General features: G+C 33.9%; 1 long non-coding RNA gene across 3 annotated transcripts in view; it reads left to right on the top strand.

Annotated features, from left to right (window-relative positions):
* Positions 1-1,540: 1,540 nt before the first annotated feature.
* LOC105373696 (uncharacterized) overlaps positions 1,541-21,718 on the top strand; it is a 104,051-nt gene continuing 83,873 nt past the window's right edge. For all 3 annotated transcript variants that reach the window (XR_001739743.1, XR_001739742.1, XR_007088683.1), the window contains exons 1-2: positions 1,541-1,684; positions 19,801-19,859. This is a non-coding gene — a long non-coding RNA (uncharacterized LOC105373696). The remainder of the gene's footprint in view (positions 1,685-19,800; positions 19,860-21,718) is intronic.

The raw sequence follows: 21,718 nt of genomic DNA, 5'->3' as shown, positions 1-21,718 counted from the left end.
AGATATTTATGGATTCTAATAATAGCTTTGTGTAACATTTATACTTTACAGAATGCTGCTGCACACATGACTCAATGTGCTTGTCTTTTTTTCTCCTAAAAACTCACCCAAATGCTTTGGTCTTTCCTTTCACCTTAGATTCAAAAAGTATTAACGTGCTATTGAATTAAACCTTGTCAAATAGTTGAAAGTGTCATCATTCTTTCAAAGCTTGCAAGAGGGAAACTAATTTTCAGTATTCCATCTTCTCTTATTGATGTCCTCATGAAAGTGTTAATTATCAAATTTATTGTTTAGCTTTGTTAGATTAACATTACATAAATATGTATCAAAGTAAATATTGTTACTAAGAAATGACTGGACCCCAGAGTTTGAAGAAAGGTATTATTAATAAATTGAAGACATGCTACAGTAAACACAGGGGATTGTAGAAAGTGTGTTAGAGTGAGAGAAAAAAATATGAATTAGAACCAAAATAACTGAAAAATAGAGAAAATATGAATACAGATCTCAAATATCTGTAGCTAGAAAGAAATTATTCACCTCACAAATATATTCTGGAGCTAGAAAGAAATTATTTAGGCAGTTAGTGAGGATAAAAGAGTCCTTGGCAAGGTTTCCGTTTTAATAAAAAGCAGCCCCCAAATCATTTCTTTTCTAACAAACAGCAGCCTGAAAAATCAAGCTGCAGACATAGAAAAGCCAGCAGCGGTACCAATAGGAAAAGGCTACCTGGGGGGGCAGGCAAACTCAACATGGAGGTTCCATCTTCCTTTTTCTTTGTCAACCATGGGTACAGTAAAATAGACAACATGATTCCAGCCAGGTAGAGAACCCAGTTGCATAATAAAAGATTAGAGTGGGGTGGCCATCTCCTTTGCATACTATGCAAATGGCCCACCTGGTCTGACCAGCCTCTAGTCCCCCATGTAAATCAGACACCACCTCCTCATGCTCATGTATAAAACCCCGTGCATTTCACCATGTAGCCAGAAGACCCACTTGGGAGCCCCGCTTTCTCTGCAGGAGAGAAAGCTTTTCTCTTTCTTTTGCCTATTAAACCTCTGCTTTTAACTTCACGCCTTGTATGCCTGCGTCCTTTACTGAATTATATTTGTAAGGTGAATACTGATAATTTATACTGAAATATGATAATTTTTCTATGGAAATAGAAAAAAATGGTCCTACTCCTCAAGAAATTGATCTCAAATTCTAAGATTTCTTAATATGTCCCTTGATTGCACATGCAGATTCAGAGGGTTTCTTTTTCCTTTTAGCAAATATTCAAATAAGTCATACAAATCAAAAATTATTTTATTTATGTTTTTATAAGATGTTAATGTTTTACATGCAAATACCTATCAGATATGATAATGTTGTAAGTAACTGGAATAATTTCAAAATCTGTACCATAACCAAGAATCCAAGCATAAGAGAAATGAACAATTAGAGTTTTCACAAATGAAATAATTATTGACTTCAATCATTGCCTTTATGTTTTCTTGGTCCCCCAGTTCATAGTTGGTTAGAAACAAACAACAACAACAACAACAACAAACAAAAACAACAACAACAAAAAAAACAGAGAGCCCAAAGAGAAGAAATAAAGATGCTGTCAGAGATGGAACATAGTGGCAGTAAAAGAAAGGACAACCAGTAGACAGGAAAGAAAAAAAACTCCAAGGTAGACTCACAACTATTTTTATTCAGTTAATATTAATGAATAAAGTTTCTTTTGGCAGTGCCTTATCAAAAACTGTGAGAAATATTCAATATTAAAAAAGGTGGTCATTAATATACACATTATAATTATTTCCATAATAAATGTAGTTTAAATTATTTTGTTTATAGAAACTGGAGTCAAGTTCCCTGGAAAAGGTATTTATGTGGAGCAGGTGGCCCCCAGGTATATGCATGAATTCATGAGCCTGAATCAATCCTTAGTTTCCATATAAGTGCTTGGACATAGCACTCAAATTAAAGAATATCAGTTCGCTTGGGCTACATTAGTCCAAAACAAAGTAACGTCCTCAAATTCCAATAGCTAACAATAAAATGTTTATTTCTCTTTGCTATGGCAGATCTGTCTTGGATCAACTGTATATTTTCTTCACTCTGAAACTAAGGGTGATGGCAGGGGGAACAGGGAGATGTGCCAGATGATGAGATGGCTCTTAATGTTTCTAAGTGGCGCATGTTACAGGTTCTTTATTACTCACATTTTATTTCACAAAGCAATTCAGATAACCAAGTCTCAATTCTGTGATCTAAAATATATGCTTATTCTGTAGCAAGATGTATAAAGGGAGACTGGACATTTTGAATAATAATATGATCTACCAAAAAGAAGTATAGATCTTAATTTTCCCTCTTTTCTAGAGCTATTGCCCAAGAATCTTCAAATGTAGGACATTGTAATCATTAAGTTTACACTTCACTCAACTTTTCTCTATTTTGATGAAAACAAATAAGAGGATCAAGGTGACATTGATCTATTGTGTAGAAAATCTGTTGTTTATATTTTTGCTTGATTTGATAACCGTTTTAAATGATTGATTTAGAGCTTACAAAAATAGCACAATTCTTTGCTGGACAAAAGGCAAAAATAATTTAAGGCAAAAATACCCATCTAGGTAAAAAACAAAGTAATCACTTAGGTAGGTAACATTATTTTAAAATAGAAATGAATTGCTGATTTTTTTCATTATTTAAAGAAACTTTTAATTTGAGATAATTGTACATTTTGAGATAATTGTACATTCATATGGAGTTGTAAGAAGTAACACAGAGAAATGCTGTGTACCATTTACTCAGTTTTCTCTAATGGTAACATTTTACAGAACTATAGAACTATGTTACAACCAGGTATTGATATTGATACAATCTGCCACTCTTATTCAGATTTTCTAAGGTCACTTTTATTCATTTGTATGTGTGTGTATTTACATCTGTGAAATTGTATCACGTGTAGATTTATGTATTCATCACCCAGTCAACACACAGAATAGTTCCATAACCGCAGGATCTATTGTGTTGCACTTTTATTACCATACCTATCTCCCTGCCCACCCTCCCAAGTCCTAATCCATGGCAAAACTAATCCATTTTCTATTCTATAATTTTGTCATTTCAATAATTCTATGTAAATGAATTTATATACAATGTTAAATCTTTTGGGATTGATGCATTTTTACTCAGTACTTTTCTCTTGAGATCATCCAAAGTTCTTCTATGTACTAATCACTGGTTATTTTTGGTTGCTGAAAAGTACATAATGGTATAAATGTGTCATAGGTTATATCATTCATTTAAGGGCAACTAGGTTATTTTCAGGTTTTTGTTATTACAAATTCTGTTATTTTATTATTTGTATTTTATTTGTTTCTTCTAATTTTTATTCCGCTATTCCTCATTTCTTTTCTGTGGATTGTGTGAACATTTTTTAGAATTTTATCTTCAGTGATTTATAGTGTTTTTCAATATACTTTAATTAGTAGTCACTAGTCACAGAATACCTTGTGACTTACCATAATCTAGTAGTATCAAGTGAAGTTTGGAAATTTGATTTCATTTAAGCTCACTCTACCCTACCCTACTTTAAATATTATTGCCTTGAGTATCAGATAGTATTATCATTTTTGTTTCAATCATCAAATATAATGTATAAAATTCATGAGGATAAGGATAGTCTATTGTGTGTGCCCATCTTTTTGCTCTTATCATTTTTCTTCATTTTGATGCTCCACTATTCTTTTTTTAAATCGTTTTATTTGTGTTTGATGAAATTTGTTTAACCACTCTTTAATGGTAGATATGCTACAGGCAAATTATCTTAGTTTCCTCAATCTGAAAATATTTTTATTTCCCCTTCATTCGTAAAAGATATTTTTACCAGATAAAACATTTTATATTTAAGATCAAATATATTTATTCATAGGTATATTTATCTTGCCAGACATATCTGATATGGTTAGGTTTTGTGTCCCAACCCAAATCTCATTTTGAATTGTAATCACCATAATCCCCATAATCTCCATGTGTCAAGGGAGAGAGCAGGTGGAAGTAATTGAACCATGGGGGTGGTCTCCCCCGCTGCTATTCTCATGATAGTGAGTTCTCACGAGATCTGATGGTTTTAAAAGGGACTCTTTCCCTTTCGCTCGGCACTTCTCCTTCCTGCCACCTTGTGAAGAAGGTGCCTTGCTTCCCCTTCACCTTCCACCATTATTGTAAGTTTCCTGAGGCCTCCTCAGCCATGCTGAACTGTGAGTCAATTAAACTTCTTTCCTTTATAAATCGCACAGTCTCAGGCAGTTCTTCATAGCAGTATGAAAATGGACTAATACAGTATCTTTATCTTGACAGATACATACATAGATACATAGTTATTTTCTTTCAGCACTTGAAAAGTGATGTGCCACTTTTTTCTGCTTCCTGTGATTTCAGATCGGAATCTGCTGTAATTCAAATTGGCATTCCCCTGTTGGCAATGTGTCATTTATCTCTTGCTACTTTTAAGTTGTTTTGCTTTGTCTTTAGTTTTGAGAAGATTCATTATTTTGTGTATTGATATAGATTTCTTTGGGTTTACCTTATTTGGGATTATTTAGCTGCTTGAATAGTTTTCATTTGTCTCACCAGTTTTGGGAAGGATTCATCTATTATTTATTTGGATATTCTATTTACCCTACTGTTTTTCTCTTCTTATTCCAGGACTCTGATAGAATGAATACTGGATATATATCTCTCTCCAATACACATATAAGCGTGCATGTGTATTTTATAGATAAATAAATAGATGTTTTCTTTCAGCACTTGAAAGATGTTCCACTTTCTTCTGTTTCCTGTGATTTCAGATTAGAAATCAGTAATAATCCAAATTGGCATTCCCGTGTTGGCAATGTGTCACTTATCTCTTGCTACTGTAAAGTTTTTACCAAACTTAAAAGTAGCACAGATTCCTGATTGAGTCAATTTTATTAATCTGTCCTCAATACCACTGAGTCTATCCCCTGTCATCTCCAGTCTACTATTGGGTCCACCCATCAAGTTTTATTTTGGTCATTATATTTTTCAGCGTTATAATTTCCATTTGGTTTATTCTTAAAACATTTATTTGCCAAGATTTCTACTTTTTTGTTTCAAACGAATGTAAAATTGTTTCTTGGAACATTTTTATGATGACTGTTTTAAAATACTTCCCCGTATATCCTGACATATAAAATATCTTTGTATTGGCATTAGTTGATTGCCTTTGCTCATTCAGTTTGTGCTTTTTCTGGTTCTTGATGTTGTGAGCTATTTTTAGTAGAATTTTCATAAATATTCTTTCTGGAAAATATTTGTTTTTGATATCACTGTTTTATATAGATCTTTGGACTTATAGTACAGGCACTTGGGTACAGGAAATAATTTAAGTGGAAGCAAGTGGTGCTTTTGCACCCATCACCTCATTACCTCTACAACTCTGGACCCCAGTGAGCACTGCATGCAAAGTCAGTTTCAGGTATTGAAATTTTTGTGGGAATTTCTGAGAAGTGATTGGTTTCTGCTCTTGTTAGTATAGTGGAGGAACATATAAAATTTTACCAATTATACAATCTGTTGAAACTGAAAATTATGAAGGACAAAAATAAAAAGAAATTAAAAAGATTTCTGCTCGAAGCAATGTAGAATAGGTTGTTTCGGTTTGTTTCAGGCTAAATTCTCACTGAAAATGACTATGGAAGGTGGAAAATTTGAAAAAAAAAGAATTCAAGACACTGGAGAGTTTCAAAAGCATGAAAGAGATATCAAAGATGGCATATTTAAAAAGATAAAGGAAATGCAGAGAATTGACCCCTACATTTGGTTCTGATGTCTCTAGACATGTGCTGATTCAAAATGTGTCTATGAAGCCAAAGGAAAAGCAACAGCTGAGAAGCTGAGGTGGCAGTCACTGGGTCTGAGGGGCAAAATTTGAAGTTAAAACCCACTAACGAAGAGTGTCTTGGGCTTAACAGGCATATCATTTCCTGATTGGATTAGGGTAATCAGCCCCTATGCTAAGGTCTGACAAAATAAAGATAAGTAGACTCTGGAAGAACATAAAAATTGGCTGGGAGTGGTGGCTCATGCCTCTAATTCCAGCACCTTGGGCAGCTGGGGTTGGTGGATCACTTGAGGCCAGGAGTTCAAGACCAGCCAAGCCCACATGGTGAAACTCCATCTCTACTGAAAATACAAAAATTAGCCTGGTGTGGTGGCATGTGCCTGTAATCTCTGCTACTCAGGAGACTGAGGCACGAGAATCACTTGATGCTGGGAGGCGGAGGTTGCAGTGAGCTGAGATCGCACCACTGCACTCCAGCCTGGGTGACAGAGTGAGACTCTGTCTTAAAAAAAAATAAAATTCATCAGAACTTCAATTTTTATGGTTTTATATACATATTTTCCATGAATGAAGAATGCAGAAATGCAAGAATTTACCAAAATATTGAAGAATAAGCAGATAATGGAAAGAGAATTAAAGGAGACTGTTATTAAAGTTAATATACATGAGGATTAAAATAATTGTGATTAATATACAAAAAGTTGAATATGAAGACAAAGAACACATAAAGAACATTAAAAATCATAAAATAGAATGAAATAGAAAATCTGGAACTTAGAAATATAGAAATTAAGATTAGGACCACAATACATTTAATTGGAAATTTAGCAATATGAAAGAGTTTATTAACAAAATAAAAGTTAGGTCATAGAAAACTGTATACACTAAGGAAGAAATTGACAGAAATTAAGCTAAATGTAGGAAAAAATAAAAGATGTATAGGACAAGGCATAAAAACATCTAAAATATATGTACTTAGACTCTAAAGAAGTGAGCAGAGTGGAATGAGTCAGAAAAAAATATATGGGATAATAGCTGAGTGTTTTCTAAAACTAATAAGAGACATAAAGCCATAGTTTCAAGACACGTTTAAGCAAGAAAAACGCAAATAAAATCAAGCTTGCAACCAAAAAATAAAAGAAAGTAGCCAGAAGAAAAATAAAGAAAAAAAAACCCAGAATAAGTACATCTTCAAAGTGATGAAAGAAAATAACTGACAAACTAGATTTCTGTATCATGAAAAGTGTCTTTCAAAAGTGAAGGAAAACTATAAAGGTTGGGTGAAATTTTTACCAGATGATTGACATAAATGCAAATATTGAAGGAAGTTATTAAGTCAGAAAGGAAACAATCACAGATGGAAGCAATTAACATCATGGTTAAAGGTGAAGAATTAAAAACATCCTCCCCTTTTCTGAAATTAAGAACAAGACAAAGCTTCCTGAAATCATCAGTTTTATCAACGTACTAAATGTCTGGTTTGGCACAAAAGAGAAGAAGAAAATGAAAGTTTAATGATTGACCAATACAAAAATAAAAGCCATTATTCAAAGTTAATATATTAACAATAAAATGTCCAAATTAATCTACAAATCATCTTTTACAATTAAAAAGTATTTTAACAAGGTTTCTAGATACAAGGTCAAAATACAAAATTAATTGCATTCCTACATATCAGAAGAGGAAAAATAATGAAGACGATCTTAAAGAAGAAAAAAAGGAGAACCAATACTAACAGAATTACTATAAGCTGTTTTAATTAACATATTGAAGTATCATAAAAAATTTTTATATAACAGAATAGAGTTATAGAATTTACCTACACATCTATGAACAGTTGATATATATTGCACATAGCATTGCAAAGATTACCAATGGATAATCTTCAATAAATACTTTTCAATTTCATTCCACGAATGTTTATTAAGCATTGACGGGGTGTTAGGGACTGTTTTAGGCATTTGGATATACATCTGTGAACAACACAGAAATAGACAAAAGTATCTTCTTTCATGAAGCTTACATGCAGGCTAGTTTTCAGCCCTGGCTGGATATTAGAATATCATGGGAGAGTTGAAAAATCCCATTGCATAGGTCACATGTCTCAAAAATTCTGAAATTCTGTTGTCCCAAATGGGGACTAGGAACCAGTTTATTTATTGATTCATAGTGTTTGTAAATATTTATAAGGTACATGTGATATTTTAATGCATGCATACAATGAGTAATGATCAATAAATATTTCTATCTTAACTGGATAACTAGGTAAAATTATGAGTCTTGACATCTATCTAAAATGAAAATATCCAAAATGGAAATAATCCCAAATAAATTCCAGTGGCTTTTACATTAATAGATGATAGGCAATATACCTTCTAAAAATAGTGTCACCCATTAACTTCCTATCCTCAGATTAGGCAAATATTTCTTTAACAGATCAAAAGACACTTTCCAACAAATAAAAAACAAAAACCAAATTTAAACAACTAAGTACATATGATATTTTATATTATATATACATATTATATATTATATAAAATATATATTATATATTGTATATTATATGTAGTATATTATATTAATATATATTTATATAATATATAATATATATTATATATTATATATATTTTTTATATTATATGACATGTTGGGCTCTGTATCTTCATCCAAATATATTATATATATTTGGATATATATATTTGGATATATATTATATTATGTTATATATTAATATATAATATATTATATATATTTGGATATGTATATTATATATATTTGGATAACCAAATATATATATCCAAATATATTATATTATATATTATGTTAATATATATAATTTTTTTTTATATTATCATATGACACGTTGGGCTCTGTATCTTCATCCAAATCTCATCTTGTAGCTCCCATAATTCCCATGTGTTGTGGGAGGGACCTGGTGGGAGATGACTGAATCATGGGGGTGGGTCTTTCCCGTGCTGTTCTTGTGATAGTGAATGGGTTTCACAAGATCTGATGGTTTTAAAAATGGGAGTTTCTCTGCATAAGCTCTCTTTTGATTGCCTGCCACCATCCACATAAGATGTGACTTGGTCCTCCTTGCCTCCCACCGTGATTGTGAGCCCTCTGCAGCCACATGGAACTGTAAGCCCAATTAAACCTCTTCCTTTTGTAAATTGCCAAGTCTCGGGTATGTCTTTATCAGCAGTGTGAAAACGGACTAATACAGTAAATTGGTACCAGCAGAGTGGGGCGCTGCTGAAAAGATACCCGAAAATGTGGAAGCAACTTTGGAACTGGGTAACAGGCTGTTACCCAAACTGTTGGAACAGTTTGGAGGGCTCAGAAGACAAGAAATTGTGGTAAAGTTTGGAACTTCCTAGAGACTTGTTGAATGACTTTGCCCAAAATACTTACAGTGATATGGACAATACAGTCCAGGCTGAGGTGTTCCCAGATGGAAATGAGGAACTTTTTGGGAACTGGAACAAAGGTGACTCTTGTTATGTTTTAGCAAAGAGACTGGCAGCATTTTGCCCCTGCCCTAGAGATTTGTGAAACTTTGAACTTCAGAGAGATAATTTAGGGTATCTGGCATAAGAAATCTCTAAGCAGCAAAGTATGCAAGAGGTAACTTGGGTGCTGTTAAAGGCATTCATTTTTAAAAGGGAAACAGTGCATAAAACTTTGGAAAATTTGCAGCCTGACAATGCAATGGAAGAAAACAATTCCATTTTCTGAGGAGAAATTCAAGCCAGCTGCAGAAATTTTCATAAGTAATGAGGAGCTGAATGTTAATCCCCAAGACAATGGGGAAAATGTCTCCAGAGCATGTCAGAGATCTTCCTGGCAGTCCCTCCCATCACAGGCCTGGAGGCCTAGGAGGAAAAAGTGGTTTTGTTGGCCAGGCCCAGGGTGCCCAAGCTGTGTGCCGCCTAGGGACTTGGTGTCCTGTGTCCCAGTCACTCCAGCCATGGATGAAAGGCGCTAACATAGAGCTCAGGCCATGGCTTCAGAAGGTGCAAGACCCAAGCCTTGGCAGCTTCCACATGGTGTTGAGCCTGAGAGTATGCAGAAGTCAAGAACTGAAGTTTGGGAACCTCCACCTAGATTTCAGAAGATGTATGGAAACACCTGGATGCCTAGGCAGAATTTTGCTGTAAGGGTGGGATTCTCATGGAGAACTTCTGCCAGGGCAGTGCAGAACGGAAATATGAGGTGGGAGCCCCCACACAGAGCCCCTACTGGGCCATTGCCTACTGGAGCTATGAGAAGAGGACCACAGTCCTTCAGACCCCAGAATGGTAGATCCACTGACAGCTTGCATTGTCCCCCTGGAAAAGCTGCAGACACTCAATGCCAGCTGATGAAGGCAGCTGGGACAGTGGCTGTACCCTGCAAAGCCACAGCATCAGAGTTGCCCAAGATAATGGGAACCCACCTCTTATATCAGCGTGACCTTGATATGAGACATGGAGTCAAAGAACATCATTTTGGATCTTTAAGTCTTGACTGCCCTGCTGGATTTCGGACTTGCATGGGGCCTGTAGCCCCTTTGTTTGGGCAAATTTCTCCCATTTGGAATGTCTGTATTTACCCAATGCCTGTACCCCCAATGTATCTAGGAAGTAACTAACTTGCTTTTGATTTGTTTACAGGCTCATAGGCAGAAGGGACTTGCCTTGTCTTGGATGAGACTTTGGACTGTGGACTTTTGAGTTAATGCTGAAATGAGTTTAGACTTTGGGGGACTGCTGGGAAGACATGACTGGATTTGAAATGTGAAGATATGAGATTTGACAGGGGAAGAATCTTACAGTTTGGTGCTGTGTCCACACCCAAATCTCATCTTATAGCTCCCCTAATTCTCATGTGTTATGGGAGGGACCCCATGGGAGATGATCGAATCATGAGGTCAGGTTCTTCTCGTGCTGTTCTCATGATAGTGAACAGGTCTCATGAGATCTGATGGTATTAAGAATGGGAGTTTCTCTACACAAGCTCTCTTTTATTTGCCTGCCACCATCCATGTATAATGTGACTTACTTGCCTTCCGCCATGATTGTGAGGCCTCCCCAGCCATGTGGAACTGTAAGTCCGATTAAACCTCTTTCTTTCGTAAATTACCCAGTCTTGGGTATGTCTTCATCAGCAGTGTGAAAATGGACTAATACAACATACAAAAAAGCATCATCATAAGAACCAAAAATCAGAGCATAATTGGATTATTTCTAACAAAAATAATAAATGCTTGAGAGGATGGATACTCCATTTACCATGATGTGATTATTATGCATTGCATGCCTGTATCAAAGTATCTCATGTACCCCATTAATATATACACCTACTGTGTACCCACAAAAATGTAAAATTTAAAATTTAAAAATTTAAGAAAAGAGTACTCCTGGGGCTCATACTGCATTATGTCTTTATTTAAATGGTAATTATATGGGTGTGTTTACTTGGTTAACGTGCTTTCACCTTTATAGGTTATACATTGATGAAAATTTGTATACAGTCATACTCTCACATACATGGAAGAATGAAACCAGTCTACAAGCCCATCATGAGCAGGAATTATTTTTCTACAGCATCCCTTTTCAAACCAAGCTTAAAATTTCTGCAGTTGGGGCACCACTAATTTTTTAGTCACTAGTCAAATATTTCACAATTTCAGTTGTTAGACCTTTTTGAGGTATATAAGAGCATTTATTTGGTCAAATTTTTTACCTATAGAGGTATATAAATGCATGGAGGGGTGTGTGTGTATGTATGCATGGGCACTGGGAACATGCAAGTCAAAATATTAACAAATCTACATGGTGGAATTAGAAGTGGTTTTTATTACTCATTCCTTATATTTTCTAAGTATTTAACATTCAAAGTGTATTCCATGTAAAGTGGGAAGGTGCAAAATTACTCTTCTAAAGGAAAAATAATTGCCAATGAAGAGAAAACAAACAATAACCCACTGCAATAAATAAAGTGATGGAAATCCAAGTGATAACATCGCCTGTTGCTGTGACTTGAGTCTGGCTGACAGCAACCACAGTGACAACTTGTGGAGGCAGGTGACACGACCCTTCTTAGTTGTTCTCACAGCATAGTCTTAAGAAATTGAAGACTTACTCTTAATAAGAAAGATAACAGTAGCCTCTGTTATCTGAAACTGATCTGATGCTTCCACCTAAATGTCAGTATTACTCATTACAAGCTGACCATTTTGTTCCCCAGTTGGACATAAACCATCTTGCAGAATACTAAGATTGGATAAGGATATTCTGAAACTTTTATAAATAGAGAAAAAAACAAAGCTATTTCAAAAAGTCTCCTCTCTTGGCTAAAATGAGTGATTGTGAATTCTGCAACAAATACAGTTTAATCTTCATTCCAGGCTTTCTTCCTTATAGGTAAGATTCATTGAGATACTGAATGATAGAATTGCCCCTAATTAATGCCAGCATTGAATTTAGAGCAAATCCCTGCTTCCTTAGGCACTCTCATAAATTACCTAACCAAAGTGCAAATACTATGGAAGTTTTACTCTAATAACTTTTACTGAGAAACGCATCTTCCCCATGTTATATATTGTCCCTCGCTGCAACAGGTAATACTTGTTAACTTCAAGGTGTGTTCCTGATGTATTTTTGCTGAAGGTGCTATTTTCTTGATAGTTTATTGACTATTTTATTATATTCAGTTTTGGTGAGATTTTCAGTCAATTTCCTTTCTATGTCTGGCATCCTGGGCAGGAGAAATGACCTATAAAATTAATGTTGCCTATAAAGTGTGAACAGTAGGAGGAGAATTTTTCGTGTTCGTAAGCTCTACTTGTTTACATGACTCAGCTGCATACATGGAAAAATTTCTTAAAATTGTCCTTGAGTTAATGATATTTAAACCTAAAACATTATAAAATTCACTTGTAGTTGTGTTTCAAAAGTTCTGGTGGTTCTCATGTTAATTTTCATCCAGTGACTAAAAAACTCATATTCAGGTGACTTGGTAACCTCAGAGTATAACAACAGAAAAGTTATTCTATACAAGTCACAGGCTGGACATTTTGTCTTCCAAGATAGACAGAATCAAGGGGCATTACAACCAGTTTTACATTCATGGATATTGAAATCATCCTTAGTCATTCAGGAAAAACCTAATCAAATTAAAATAGAAACTTCTATTTTAAAGTATTTGATGAATAATCTTTGCAGAGATGCTGTGAAAGATAGCTGGACAACTAAGAGACAACTTAGTTTTTAGATAGTGAGATAAAGTGGTACTGCAAAAACAGATAAGCACTCTATCATAGGAATTCTAAGAAAGGACAGTGGGTATGGTTAATTAGTTCCATAGTTAGTTCCATTGTCATAAACTATATAATATCACCCTCTGGAAAAGACTCATTCTAGCTTATAATAAATGGCAAAATCTCATTGAGACTAATTAGATTGAACAAAATGAACTCAAGTAGAAGGTCAGTTTAAGGGATAATTTTTCTTAAAAATAACATACACAACAAAATTTCATATTTGCAATTCAATTTCACTTGGTAGAATGAAACTTCAAAATATGAAGGCTTAGCAAAATACACTTTAATAAGAGTCAATGAAAACAATGATAAATGAAGTTATAAATGCATGAATCTGTTTGGGAAGGACAAAATAGTGTGCTTGGTGTCAAACTTAGAAGTACATTTAAGGTGAATGTCGCTCCCTAGAGTTCCATTCACCAAAAATGCTTTATCCAAAAATGATGTTAAATGTGATTGGTTTAATTTTTTAATTACATTAAATTTAAATATAAAATACAAAAGAACATTAAATACACATTCAATTTGTCTTGGTGCCTTCTTTCAAATTCTCATTTTTCTTCAATATAAACTTTAGTCAGACACAAAAAAATAATTTGTTGTCAAATGCAAAGAGTATACACTGAAAGAATGTCTTTAATTTTGTCATATGTATTTAATTTTATGTGTTTGTGTGAATATATATGTATGCTTACAAAGAAAAAAGAGACTCTAAATGTAGATTCTGATATTTATATATTTTTTAAAAAGATATTTGGAGTATTTTGTAAGATTTAAAAGAACAGTGTGAAATAAGAAAAAATATAGTCAGGGAAATAAATTTTAATAATTAAAAACTCTTCCAGTTGAAATATGTTAATAAAGTGAACATATCAAAATATTTTAAAGCAATTGCCAGGTAAATATGAAAAGAAAAAGAACATGTAATAACACTGTTTAGGCAACTTCAAATGTTAAAACTTCTTTTTCCTGAGACCAGTCGTTCTTTTTACAAAGTATGCCCTAAATAATGCATTATTTCATAATGTTGCTTTATGTTTACAGGACATAAATGCCTTTATCCTATATGTAGATGGACAAATGAATATGTAAAGTTGGTGTTTGGTGAGCTTTTTATGTTATTAATTTGTAACTGGTAATTATTCCTATAAATTTCTTATGTTTCCTTAGTCAATTATTTAATGTCAATTTCTTATAGAATATGTAGTTGATGCCTCTAAGGTATCACCATTTTTATAAAGAAAATAATATGTTATTTGGTCTGGCGCAGTGGCTCATGCCTATAATCCCAGCACTTTGGGAGGCCAAGGCGGGTGGATCACAAGGTCAGGAGATCGAGACCATCCTGGCTAACATGGTGAAACCCCGTCTCTCCTAAATATACAAGAAATTAGCAGGGCGCGGTGGTGGGCGCCTGTAGTCCCAGCTACTCGGGAGGCTGTGGCAGGAGAATGGTGTGAACCTGGGAGGCAGAGCTTGCAGTGAGCCGAGATTGTGCCACTGCACTCCAGCCTGGGTGACAAAGCGAGACTCCATCTCAAAAATAAAAAAATAAAATAATAAAATAATAAAAAAGATGTTTTTTTGTGGCAAATATTACTTTTTCCCAAGTTCTAATTTCTAAGATTCATGAATATGAAAAGCACAGAGCAATCACAATAAACAACAATTAATCTGTAGGAAATACACTCAAGAAGTAATATGTTTATATATATTAATAATATGTATAATACTAAAGTAATATATAGTATTTAATCCTTATATTATTTTTACAAAACTAACTCATTAGAAGTACTAATATGAATATTGGATTTTATACAATTGAAGTAATAACAGATATTGTATATGTAATCTGTTCTGTTACTAGAGGAGAAGTTATGAAACATATGAGTTATAAGTTCCATTTCCTAATGAATCTTGAGATATTATAACAGTATACTACATAGAAATTATGCAATATATCATAACGTTTTGGTTGAATTATATTTAAACGTTTCAAAAAGTGCATAAATGAGGATAAAAACGGTTTATCATGTGAATTTCATATAGATTTCATCTACATTAGTGGAAAGTGTGTAAGCTAATAAGACTTAAAGATTTCTGTCTCCCTCTCTAACAATCCTATTTCAAACATCACATAGCTATATTCACTATGTCTGATCTTATCATGTGTTTTCTACTTGCCTTTTGTTTGTTTCTACTAAATTATTTATATATTTGCACTTAAATAATGTTATTTTTCTTCAGGGAGAAAATTAGATTGCTCCTCATATATCATTACTTTAAATCTGTGTTTATAAGTACATAGGCACTTTGTAAAATCAATCACTTATCCATTAAAATCAATGGTTTTGAAATAACAACATAATATTTTGTATTATATAAAGTACATATTGTACATTTATTAAAACAAAAGCGAGAAAGAGGCAATTTAACTGTGTGCACCTATAATTTAAATAATTGAAATTTTTGTTCATATACTAATGGAAAGAATTGTTGTTACTTAAATAGCTTTAAAATGGCAAAATGCCATATGTCATTTTGAAAGTCATACACTGGATAGATTAGCAACACAGTTTGAAACATTATCCCGTACAGGGGAATCTATTCACTCAGTAGATTATAACAAGTGACAACTGCATCAAGTTGCCATTGCACAGCACAGTAAGCTAAGAAAAACCCAAAAACCTATCAGTTTGTTACATTATCCTCTCATGTTAGATTTTGGACATTATCACTCAGACTGAATTTTTTTACATTGAGACTTTAAAATTTTTATTTATTTTTGTTGACATATAATAATAGATGTACATTCGTTGGGGGTACATATAGTTTGTTACATTTATATAATTAAATTAGGGTAATTGAGCGCCCGTAACTAAATATTTTTCTTTATGCTAGGAATATTCAAATTTTTCTCTTCTAGCTGTTTTGAAATGTACAATAGATTAATGTTAACATAGTCACCCGACTGGTATTATTGAACACCAGGTCTTTTTTATTCTGTGTAAGTGTGTATTTGTTTTTTGTTTGTTTGAGACAGAGTTTTGCTCTTATCGCCCAGGCTGGAGTGCAATGGCGCGATCTTGGCTCACCGCATCCTCCACCTCCTGGGTTCAAGTGATTCTCCTGCCTGTCTCCCGAGTAGCTGGAATTACATGAATGCGCCATCACACCTGGCTAATTTTGTATTTTTAGTAGAGATGGAGTTTCTCCATGTTGGCCAGACTGGTCTCAAACTCCTGACCTCAGGTGATCCTCCTGCCTCAGCCTCCCAAAGTGCTCTAAGTGTATATTTGTACACATTAATCAACTTTTTTTTATTCCACACTCCTCCCTACCCTTCCTGGCCTCTGGGAACCAATCTACTTTCAACCAATCTACTCTCTATGTTCATGAGATCTACCTTTTTAGCTCCCACATATGAGTGATGAAGTGATATTTGTCCTGTGCTTAGCTTACTTCAGTTAACATAATGACCTCCAGTTCCATCCATTTTGCTGTTAATGACAGAATTTCATTATTTTTCTTTATGGCAGAATAGCACTTCATTGTGTATATATACCACATTGTCTTCATCCATTTATGCATGGATGGGCACTTACGTTGATTCCATGTTTTGGCTATTGTGAATAGTGCTCCAATAAACATGGGAGTGCAGATATCTCTTTGATAATATTGACTTCCTTCCTTTTGGATTTATACCTAATAGAGGAATTGCTGAAAAATGTGGTAATTCTATGTTTAGTTTTCTGAGGAATCTTCATACTGTTTCCCATAATGGTTGTACTAATTTACATTCCCACCTAAAGTATATAAAAGAGTTCCCCTTTCTCCACATCCTCATCAGCATTTGCTATTTTTCATCTTTTTGATGATAGTCATTGTAACTGGGTTGATATGGTAGCTCATTGTGGTTTTGATTTGCATTTCTCTAATGATTATTGATGTTGAGCATTTTTCATATACCTATTTGCCATTTGCATGGTCTTCTTTTGAGAAATGTCTATTCAGATCTTTTGTCATTTTTTTAATGAGTTATTTGGGTTTTTTGTTATTTAGTTGTTTGAGAACCTTATATATTGTTATAATCCTTTGTCAGATGGATAGTTTGCACATTTTTTTTTTTAATTCTGTGGGTTGTTTCTTCACTCTGTTGATTGTTCCCTTTGCTGTGCAGAAGCTTTTTGCTTGGTGTAATTCTATTTTTCCATTTTTGGTTTTGTTGTCTGTCCTTTTCAGATCTTACACAGATATTCTTTGCCCAGACCCAATGTCCTGGGATGTTCTTTCAATATGTCCTTCTAGTAGTTTCATAGCTTCGGTCTTGGATTAGAATCTTCAATCTATTTCAATTTGACTTTTGTAAATGGTGAGAGATACAGATCTAATTTCATCCTTCTGCACATAGTTATACAGTCTTCCCAGCACCAATTATGGAAGAAACTGCTCTTTCCTAATGTAAGTTTTTGGTGCCTTTGTTTAAAATGAGTTGGCTGTAAATGTACAGATTTATATTTGGGTTCTCTACTTCATTCCATTGGTCTATGTGTCCACTTTTATGTCATTTCCATGCTAATTTGGTTACTGTAGTTTCATATTTGAAGTGTGCTGACTCTTGCTTTGTTCTTTTTGCTCAGGACAGCTTTGCCTATCTGGGGTATTTTGCAGTTCCATATAAATTTTAGGATTTTTTTTTTTTTTTGAGATGAAGTCTTGCTCTGTCACCCAGGCTGGGGTGCAGTGGCACGATATCAGCTCACTGCAACCTCTGCCTCCCGGGTTCAAGCGATTCTCCTGCCTCAGTCTCCCCAGTAGCTGGGACTACAGGTGCGTGCCACCACACCGGGTTAATTTTTGCATTTTTAGTAGAGACGGGGGTTTCCCTATGTCGGCCAGGCTGGTCTCGAACTCCTGACCTCATGATTCGTCTCCCTCAGCCTCCCAACGTGAGGGATATTTTTCTTTATTTCTGTGAAGAATGTTATTGGTATTTTGATAGGGAATGCATTGAATCCATAAAGTGCTTTGGGTAGTATTGTCATGTTAGCAATATTAATTCTTCTAATGCACGATCATGGAATAATTTTCCATTCATTGTATCTTCTCAATTCCTTTCATCAGTTTTATAGTTTTCCTTGTGTAGATAGATATTCCACATCTTTGACTAAATCAATTCCTGGGTATTTTATATTCTATGTAGCTGTAGTAAATAAGATTACTTTCTTGATTTTGTTTTCAGGATGTTTACTGTTGGCATACAAAAATGTAACTGGTTTTGTATGTTGATTTTTGTATCCTGAAGCTTTACTGAATTCATTTATCAGTTCTAACAGGTTTTTTTGGTGGAGTCTTTAGCTTTTTCCACATATAAGATCATATCATCTGTATACAAGGCTAATTTGACTTCTTCCTTTCCAATCGAACGCCCTACTTTTCTTCCTCTTACCTAACAGCTTTGGCCAAGACTTCCAGTATTATATTGAATAAAAGCCTCAAATTTAAAAGTACTACTCTCAATTCTAGTTGACCAATCAAATCACATAGAAAACTTCATGAAATTCTGATGCGCTTTCTTCTTCTTCATTGTTTCTGATAAAAATACTGTATGATGGGCCCTAGGCAAGGATATATATTTTTAAAGTTACCACTCTAGTATAACGCATAGCCAGAGTTGAGCACAGTTGACTTAAAATCAGCTATGTAATTACTTTAAACATATTTTAGTTGAAATGAGTATAATTATAAATTATTATTCCTAGAACCCACCACATATTACTAACTATGACCTGTTATGAAATCAGTGTAGCACTATGGTTTTGGTAGAAGGCAAGAGGGTTCAACTTCGTGTAACAAAGTCAGTGTGAATTTCAAAGAAAGTTGAGAATTTATGATGTTTAAAAAGTATAATTCTTTTTAAGGGCACAAATGTCCATTTTATCAATGAAATTCTCTGTAGAGTGATATATGAAAAAATATTATCTTTAAATAAGACCAGTATAGAAACAGGCTCTATTGTTTGATATTGGATTAATTACTTAATTTTTCTGAATCTTGATTTCTTTCTTTATAGATTATAAAAATCTCTTATAGTCATTTTAAAAATTAATTAATTTATGGTAATAAATAAATCATTTAGTAGTTACATAACAAATGCCAGTCTCCCCTAGAGTATTTTCATTATTTGTGTGTGCTTTAGAAAAGTAATTATACAACTGAAAGTCAGACAGATTGATTCTTGAATAAAATATGTATCAATCTTTTTTGAAATCTACCTAGGAATTCTACACTAATTAACTAATTAATCCAAACTAATTAAACCAATAAAATATGGATTGATATTTCAAAAGAGTTTTATAAATGGACCAACTCATAAATACTACATATCAGCCCAAGTCTATCCCTAATAACATTAAAAATATTTTAATTAGCTGTCAGATATTCATAAATATATCAGTAATGCCAGATAAATTGTATTTCCCGTTGTTCAGTACTATTTGATGATGAGCAATATTTCTTTTTCCTTATTAAATGCAATTCAATTTTTTTGACCTTGACCACAAAATAGTATCTCCAATATATGCATATTCACCTTATTTTTTTCTGTGCTTTTTATTTTCAGACCCGGAGTTTCTGTCCATGTCCAATGCATTCAAGATTCTTCTGCAAATCTGAACAGTCGTAAGTGCTGACTAAAAATTTTGATAAAGGGAGATAGGCATATTAATTTCCTAGATATCTAGAATGGCTAGATTATAAAACCCAAAAGGTTATCAGTTCTACAAATTGCCTGGCTGGCTTTGTTCAGATGCTCTGCCTACTCCATTCAACTTTGGAGAGGATTCAGGGATGTGGGACATAGAATATGGCTACCTAGGAAACAGGGAAATTTTGGAGTAACTCCCTCAACACAGGAATATGCTGAGATATAGCTTTTGTGATATAAGCACCTAAATGTCTTGTTCATTCTAACCTCTTGCTCTTGCCAGCTACACTCTCTATGGTTTATGTCTACAAGAACTGCCTTAGCAATTCTTGAATATTGTAATTTCTCTTATTTTTTTTTGTGGTTTTACATACACAGTTCATTCAATAGGGAATGACTTTTCATTTTATTTGCTCCTAGTTGGCTGCTGTTAATTCCTGAAATTCAGCTCTGTTCTGTCTCTTCTGGGAAACCACCCCTACCATCTGCCTGCTGCCTGGGTAGAAAACCTGGCCTGTGTATTCTCATAGCATATCACTCTTACTCTATTTGAAGCACTCCTTTCAGTCTATAGATATTCTTTACTTCCAGGTAAAAATCTGGCTAATGGAAGTATCATTCTATATTTCATAAGCTTATTTTTAAAGATTAAACATGTTAATATGTGTAAAATATACATATATTAATTTTAATATGTATATTTAAGATATAATTATGACCTTCGAATACATTAAGACTAAAACTGCTGCTTTTTAGCAAAATATTTAAATGTGGCCATATATTTATTCAGATCGAATCCAAGATCAATTATCAAAGTAAAAATTGTAAAATCTAATTATCTTGAAAGGACATAATAACTAAAAAATAATAAAAATCATAAATCACCAAATAAATATTATATATATCATTTAAGACACATCAATCAGTACATACAAAAAGTAACAGCAGGCCGGGCGCGGTGGCTCACGCCTGTAATCCCAGCACTTTGGGAGGCCGAGGCGGGTGGATCATGAGGTCAGGAGATCGAGACCATCCTGGCTAACAAGGTGAAACCCCGTCTCTACTAAAAATACAAAAAATTAGCCGGGCGCGGTGGCGGGCGCCTGTAGTCCCAGCTACTCGGGAGGCTGAGGCAGGAGAATGGCGTGAACCCGGGAAGCGGAGCTTGCAGTGAGCCGAGATTGCGCCACTGCAGTCCGCAGTCCGACCTGGGCGACAGAGCGAGACTCCGTCTCAAAAAAAAAAAAAAAAAAAGTAACAGCAGAACTGAACAAAAGAAATTCTTCACCTAGTAATAGACAGTCTAAACAGATATAATTTATGTGAAATGATGAAAACAAATCTCATAAAGATAATATTGTTGTGAAATTTCGTGACTATATCCTTCATGACCTAGAGAGTAGTGATTTAATGGAAAGAAAGTAAATTATATGCATGGTCTATTTAATAAAGTCTGAGAATCAAGACTAAGCACAATCAAAATAAAGGCTTATTACTCAAGCCAAATTAAATTTGATATGAATAAGGAATATTTATCAGAATAGTAATACTGATGCTAGTTTATCTCGTGCTAGAGAGTACACTAATCATTAGGAAAATCTATACTTATAATTTACACAAAAGAAATAATATTTTGACTTCATGATAAAACCTATCTGAAACAATTTTTAGGTAAACTGAAAATTGAAAACTTTCTTACTTGCTTTATAAAATTATTGTTCTGTGACATTGTTTATTTGTTACAGGCAGAACATATTAATGAATGGTTATTATATAAACAAGTATACCAACTAGTATTAAGCGTTTTATGAGTGAAGCAAACATTCAAAAATTT

The sequence above is a fragment of the Homo sapiens genome, chromosome 2 (genome assembly GCF_000001405.40).
Source record: "Homo sapiens chromosome 2, GRCh38.p14 Primary Assembly".
Lineage (NCBI taxonomy): Eukaryota > Metazoa > Chordata > Mammalia > Primates > Hominidae > Homo > Homo sapiens.
This window is presented reverse-complemented; position numbering and strand designations above follow the sequence as displayed.